The sequence below is a fragment of the Homo sapiens genome, chromosome 2 (genome assembly GCF_000001405.40).
Source record: "Homo sapiens chromosome 2, GRCh38.p14 Primary Assembly".
NCBI lineage: Eukaryota > Metazoa > Chordata > Mammalia > Primates > Hominidae > Homo > Homo sapiens.
In genome coordinates, this window is record NC_000002.12 from 106,047,678 (window position 1) to 106,055,206 (window position 7,529).

The window sequence follows — 7,529 nt, forward strand, 5'->3', positions numbered from 1 at the left end:
GTACTTTTCTGTGGCAGCCAGTGCTGCCATTAATCCAATATCCTTTGCTCCTAATCTTGGAGCCTTTTCGATATCTTAATATCTTCTGAGGAAGAGACATTTTTATTTTAATGGAATTCAGTATGTCATTATTTTTTCTCTTATGGTTAATGCTTTTTGTTGCCTAAGCAGTATTTTCCCTGCCCAAAAGTCCTGAAGATTTTCTCCTACTTTTTTTTCTAAAAAATTTAATTTTTTTCTTTTTAATTTAAGACTCTTATCCAATTCAAGATAACTTTTGTGCTGATTGTTTTCCCATCTGAATAACCAGTTTTTGTAAAGCCGTTTGTTGAAAAAATGATTCATTCCCCCACTAAATTATCTTGGCACCTTTGTTGAAAATCTACATCTCTATGTTGGTTTATTTCTGGACACTCATTCTGTTCCACTGATCTACATGTGTATTCTTACAGCAGTACCACGCTGTCTTGCTTACATAGCTTTGTAATGCATCCTGAACTCAGCTAAGAGTTCCAACTTCCTTCTTCATTTTTTTTTTTTTTTTTGAGACAGAGTCTCACTCTGTTGCCCAGGCTAGAGTGCAGTGATGCTATCTCACCTCTCTGCATACCAGGTTCAAGTGATTCTCGGGCCTCACCCTCCTGAGTAGCTGGGACCACAGGCACGTACCACCACACCCAGCTAATTTTTGTATTTTTAGTAGAGACGGGGTTTCACCATGTTGGCCAGGTGGGTGTCGAACTCCTGACTTCAGGTGGTCCACCCCACTCAGCCTCGCAAAGTGCTGGAATTACAGGCATGAGCCACCACACCCGGCCCACCTTCTTTTTAAATTTTTTTTGGTTATTCTGGATTAGTTGCATTATGTTATCAGGTTTAGAATTATGCTGTCAATCTGTATATAAAAGCCTTATAGCGTTTTGATTGGGATGGTGTTGACTCTATTCACCACTTCACAAGGAGTGTGAGAATCTTTCCACAATACACTTTCATTTCCCCTCCCACTGTTTGCACTATGGTTGTCAAACATTTTATTTCTACATATAAGCCCCATGATATTGTTATTTTCATGTTAAACTGAACATTTTCTTGTGAGAAAGTTCTTTAAAGAGAGAAAATAAAGTCTTTACCCACATATCTACCATATCTGATGCTTTCCATTCCTTTTTCATGATCTGAGTTTCCCTCTACAATCAATTTTCTAAGAAGCCGGAAGAACTTCTTTTAATATTTCTTATAGTATTCTTACCTGCTGGGAAAGAATTATCTCCCTTTTTGTTTGTGTGTGTTGTGAGTGTCTGGGTTTTGTCATCTTCCTTTGAGGAGCATTGAGTTCTGCTTTGGCAATCAGCTAATTTACTTGCAGATCAGTTCGATAAAAGAATCCTCAAAACAAAGTCTTGTTTTTTAAGGATTGTTACTGTGGGTCCAGAGTGGCCTTTATGCCAGTTTAGTTTAGTTCTACCAACTGCCCTGATCAATCTGGGTCACTGTTGCCTGCTCCAAATACTCAGTGATCTCTCTCTATTTTGGCTGATCAGAGCAGATGTCTCTAAGCCTTGTGCAAAGTTGGGGTGTTTTTCAGCTTATAGCTCCCTGGTAGCTCTTCCCACAGCCCCAAGGAGGCTCACCTTCCATGTACGTTCTTAGTATTCAGCAACAGACTCAAGTGGACCCCTATGCAACATTCTTGAGCTCTTTCATTCTGTAGCTCCCTCTTCTCCAGTCCTTTGTTCTGGAAATCCTAACTACTTCATCCTCACCGAACTCTAAGCTCTGTCTCCTCGTGTCAGTGAGATTGCTGCCCTCTTTTTGGGTTCCCCTCCCTGGCCCACAGTCTCACAAATGGCTCCAAGCAGGAAATGAGAAGGTTGTGGGGCTCCCTCATTTATTTCCTTTCTGTCAGGGAGCAGTCCCATGCAGGTTGTTGTCCAGTGTCCAGGAACAATTATCTCCCATGTTAAGTCCAGTTTTCTAGTTCTTTATGACAGAAGAGCTTGTCTGGTAGCAGTTACTTATCATGCCTGGAAGCAGAGGTACCTGTAATATCTCAAATAAGCCTGTAATCCCAGCACTTTGGGAGGCTGAAGGAGGGGGGGGTGGATCATGATGTCAGGAGTTCAAGACCAGCCTGACCAACATGGTGAAACCCCATCTCTACTAAAAACAAAAAATACAAAAATTAGCCAGGCGTGGTGGTGCATACCTGTAATCTCAGCTACTCAGGAGGCCGAGGCAGGAGAATCGCTTGAATCCGGGAGGCGGAGGTTTCGGTGAGCTGAGACTGTGCCACTGCAGTCCAGCCTGGGCGACAAAGCAGGATTCCATCTCAAAAAAAATATATATATATATATATATCTCAATCTCACATAAGTGCCATATATATATATATATATTATATATATATATTTATATATATATAATATATATATATATAAAATATATATATATATAAAATATATATATATATATATATATCACATAGGTGCCATAGCTTGAGCAGTGTCTGCAGCTCCATGGTCTGATCCCTAAGGACAGACAAATGGTTGACATCCTACCCCATGCAAAGCACAATGCCAGGCTCCATGGGGCATTAAATATTGTGAATTAGTTGTGATGTATAAACACATAAATGTGCAAAGTAATTTCTTTGACTATTAGAATTTTGTTAAAATCTTTAACATACTATGGGTTGAGCATCTCTACATTATAGTTAGAGCTACTTCCCAACACTATAGTTTTAATTACCATCACATAAGGTTTTCTCATTAAGGTTTTGTTGCTGTTGTTCTGTGTGTTTGTGTGTGTGTGTGTGTGTGTGTGTGTGCTTATAATGGAATTTTGATTGTGTACCAGTGCAGTACATTTTCTACACAAAATCTGCACAATAATGGGTTGGGTGCGGTGGCTCACGCCTGTAATACCAGCACTTTGGGAGGCAGAGGCAGGCAGATCATTTGAGGTCAAGAGTTTGAGACCAGCCTGGCCAACATGGCTCAACCCTGTCTCTACTAAAAATACAATAATTAGCCAGGCATGGTGGCACACGCCTGTAGTCTCAGCTACTTGGGAGGCTGAGGCAGGAAAATTGCTTGAACCCAGGAAGTGGAGGTTGCAGCACACCATTGCACTCCAGCCTGGGTGACAGAGCAAGACTCTGTCAAAAAAAGAAAGAAAGGGAAGGGAAGGGAGGGAAGGAAGGAAGGAAGGAAGGAAGGAAGGAAGGAAGGAAGGAAGGAAGGAAGGAAGGAAGGAAGGAAGGAAAGAAAGAAAAGAAATCCGCACAATAACAAGATTCTGGCTAAAGCTGGCCACCCCGCCCTCACCACGCTGGGACCCGTGCCCATGGAGGGGATGTCAGCATGTTTGCCATCCAATTCTGGTTCATTTCATAACTGAGGCTTGGATGACCTGTCTCTTGCCACCTCGTGCTTATTTACTGTTTAAATTTCTGTCCCACATTTTCCTTCCATTGGGTTTCTGCTTTGGGTTTTTGTTTTGGGTTTTTTTCCTTGTTTGGCTGGTTGGATTTTTTGGTTTTGCCTTTTGGCTCCCAATACAACTTTGTTCCATTCCAATTTCTCTAGTTTAAAGCTGATGAGCGTTGGGGTTGGCTGTATTTACTTACTTGTTTTTCAAAATTAATTAATTTATTTATTTTAGAGGGAGGGTCTCACTCTGTCGTTCAGACTGGAGGGCAGTGGTGTAATCATAGCTCACTGCAGCCTCAGCCTCTTGAGTAGATGGGGCTACAGGAACGCACCACCATGCCCAGCTAATTAAAAAAAATTTGTAGAGACTGAGTCTTGCTATGTTGCTTAGGCTGGTCGCCATGTCCTGGCCTCAAGTGATCCTCCTGCCTCGGCCTCCTAAGGTGCTGGGATTGTAGGTGTGACGCACTGCACCTGTCCTGGTGTTTATTTATTCATTGATCTTCATCCGTGTCTTCTTGTGCTTCAGCTACATCTCACCAGGGCTGGTCCCAGAGAGAAGAGAAAGCAGGTGGCACCCTCCCCCACACTCATCTCAGCTTTCTTCCTCTGACAATCTTCTTTTTTCTCCATTCCCCTGTTATCAGAATCCAGCTCCCCAGTTGCACACAGAAGGTCAGACCTCCCAACACAGCTTGTAACTGAGCCTGGCAATGTCCTTTCTTTCCAACCTTTCTCATCTCCTCCTCAGCAAAGCTGAGCCATTCTCTATGCCAGTTATTCCCAGCTGCAGCCTCACCCTCAGAAAACTGGACTGATCTTAAGGATAATGACTGATAGTGGCCCCCAGCACACCTAGCTCCTCAGTGGAGGAGAAACCCAATGAAAGGGCTTCCTGTTGGCATTTCAGGCACAGGAATGAAGAAGCTAAAGGAGTCATTCTGGGGACTGCCCTTCATGGGAGCTTCTCTGTTCCCATCTCCATCTCTGCCCCTTTCAGCATAGTACCCAATTCAGATAACCTCTGAACCCACTGAGTTTACCAAAAAACACCCTCTATGAATGAAAGTGGCAACTCTAATAGTACATCTAAAGGCTCAATATCATAGTCCTGGAAACTCTATAGATTTTGCCATTCTTGTTTGATATGGAAGTTGATTATATCAATGAACTAGCTTTAAATTCACCCTTTTCTAGAGACACGGAGCTGGAGTGAGGTCCTTGTCTGCACAGCATAGCCTGGATAACTTTAATAATTGATGTTTAAATAATCTCCCAACTATTTGCATGTCTGATGTCTGTGGGGAAATTGAAAGGCCTTGTTTTGTTGGCAGTGATAATCATTGGATATGCAGCAACATGGTATGAATGACTAAAGTCTACTCTGGGCTCTGCATTTTTGCCATCATCAGGAATTTTGATGAAAAAAGCTGATCTGGAAAAACAATTTGTGCCAAAGCTTTATATAAATGATTGATTTCACTCAAATTCATAGTCAGTGGTATTTAATCAGTCCTTTTCATCGAGATGTTTGACAATTAGTCTTGGGCCAACTAAACATTCAATTGATTTAGATGTTAGACTTTCATGAAACTGAAGCTGATTGTTTTAAACTGAGCAAATTCTAGCCAATGTCTTCCTCTCTAAAATTCTCCCAAAGATATTTATTTTAAGTTTCTCAATACAGAGGGAGGAGTGACTAATTGAGGTACTTGGGCTTGTAAAGAAGCATTTATCCTGTGGAAATTTATTCTATTCTCACGGAGTATCTAAATGCTTATGGCTGTTTTTCATGCTGTGTAAAATATGACTTGCTCCATATAAAAAGCAACAAATATAAGGAACCAAAGGCTTGGTATAATCAACAGGAGCTGCTTTGATGTAAACTCTTAAAGGAGACAGGACTTCTCTTTGCATCCAAGTCTGATCTTGAGTTTGACAATGCAGGTCTAGGCGTGGAAGGGGTGGGAGGACAGTTGGTAGAAGGAGAGCTGCTTGATGTGGACAAAATGCCTTAATGTTAAGATTATCCAGAGGCCCTGGCCATTTAATAAGGAGGCTTGTTGCTTCTTATTAATGGAAATGAATGCTCTTCCTTCCCCCAGTCAGGTTCCAGCATTGCTGTCCATATGCTATTTGAAGTATCTGAACCCTCCCAGATGCCAGTCTCTGTGGGTGTAAGACAGGAAATGCAAAGTGGGTTTGGCCCAAGTACAAAAATGTGAACTGTAACAGAGAAAGCTCTGTGGGATGGCCCCTATTATTTTTATACTGTTTCGAGCTAGGTGTTGAATGATGAGTAGCCCGGCTCTGTGGAAATTTTGGAGCATCAGGCCACTTTGTGTCTTAAGTGACAAAGTGCTAATTTAAGGACTAAGATTGAACTTGAGCAACTGATTTAAGCAAGCAACTAATTTCATTCATTGGGAAGATTATGGGATATCTCACACAGGATCAAGAAAGTCACAAGCAGAGCCCAACCAGGTCCCTAGGATGCCCATTCTCATCTCTCTGCTTCCTCTGTGACTTCATCCTTTCCCTTCCTGCAGACTGCGTTCTCCACAAGATTCCACCAACAGGCCCTGGACTTTCCTTGCACAGCTTCAGCTACATTGAGCAATGCTGTCACTGGCATGGGTCTGAGTGTCTCCGGGAAGGGACTTGGATCAGCTGTGCATTCCTGGGTGGCTCCACGGAGGCTGAAGAGAAGGTCACCCAGGAGGGGGAAGCACAGGTTGGAAGAGAAGGGAGTCCCTGGTGGAAGCAGATAGGAAGAGGAGCACCAGCGGGCATGGGCAAGGCAGAAAAAACAGCCCTGCAATGCACGGGGCAAGATAGGCACTTAACTCACTCTGGGCCATTAATCCAATCGTGGTTGGCCACAGGATTTCTATGGTCTTTTAACCAATATAATTCTGACATGGTTGTCATTTAATGGTTTAAAACCAAAAAACAGCAAGCAGTGTCCTAACCTACCTATAACTTTCCATTATACAACCATGGAAAGAGAGACAGAATTTGGTGGGTTTGTTTATGTGGTTGTGAGTCACAGTCTGAAGCAAAGACATAGCAAAATGCATAATTAAAATAGACTATGCATTTGTTGAGAGCAGGGGGCATGTCTTGTTCATCTTGGATTCCCTAACAGTGCTTCGAACACATAAACACACTATAAATGCATACTAAATTAAATTTGGGGGGAAAATACTCCAGCAATATTGAGGCAGGAAATCAAAAGCAACGGCTACAGATGCAGTGTTCTTAGTAGAAATAGAAAGAAGCAGTTCAATGCTGGAATAAAGCCGGACTTAACAAAGCACCACCATAACGTCACAGCATGGAGTTCACCATGCAGAGGGACCAGCGTACCTCAGGCAGGCAGGGGCCTGATGACATCTCTTTTAGCGGCTGAGCATTGTGACTTTGCCAGGAGTCTGCAGCCACCGGCATGCCCAGAGGACCGGGCATCCTGTAGGAGGCTGGAATGTGTTTGAGGTTTGACTTGCTGTGCGGCTCCTGGAGTTTTATTGAGTTCCTTTGGTTTGAAGTCCTCATGACATTACATTAAACTACACATTATCACAAAAAAGTTTTAAAATACGCTAAGATTACTGTAAAGGTAAGATGATAAACTTATGGCAAAATTTTCCCTATCCGGGAAGCTAAAGGTGCCTGTTAACCTGTGTTGTCCAGTTTCACGTATTTTTAAAATACTGCCATCAGTACCAAAGCATAGATTTCTGCACTCAGCTGCAAGTCACAACTGAGGCTTCCCTCAGTGTGGCCACCCTGTTCTTGGTGCATTCCCGTCCATATGGCCCACACAAGCCCGAGGCCTTAATTCATTCAGCAAACACTTTTCCCTCCTGCTGTTTTCTTTCCCTGCTGCTTAGTACCCTCCTTTCTCACCAGGGTCTTCTCAGACTCACCCCTGCCTCTCCTCCCTGCTGGTCGTCTGTATGTCTGTTTCTCAGGACTCTGCCTCACAGATCCCCTGAGGGGGCCCCGAGCCCAGGCACTGCCTAGCCTTGTGGTGGCACTCAGATTAGAAAAGACTGCTGTTGGGCTACTTACAGCTGCATAACGAACCACCCAAAC

The 7,529-nt window shown here is 43.0% G+C and overlaps 1 annotated feature.

Annotated features, from left to right (window-relative positions):
- Nucleotides 5,177-6,376: an enhancer, noted in NCBI's record as "CDK7 strongly-dependent group 2 enhancer chr2:106669310-106670509 (GRCh37/hg19 assembly coordinates)". NCBI's record gives its function as "activates an origin of replication core promoter dependent on BRD2, BRD4, P300/CBP, MED14 and CDK7 cofactors, with strong dependence on CDK7, by STARR-seq in HCT116 cells {active_cell/tissue: HCT116}" and the evidence as "EXISTENCE:reporter gene assay evidence [ECO:0000049][PMID:35650434]".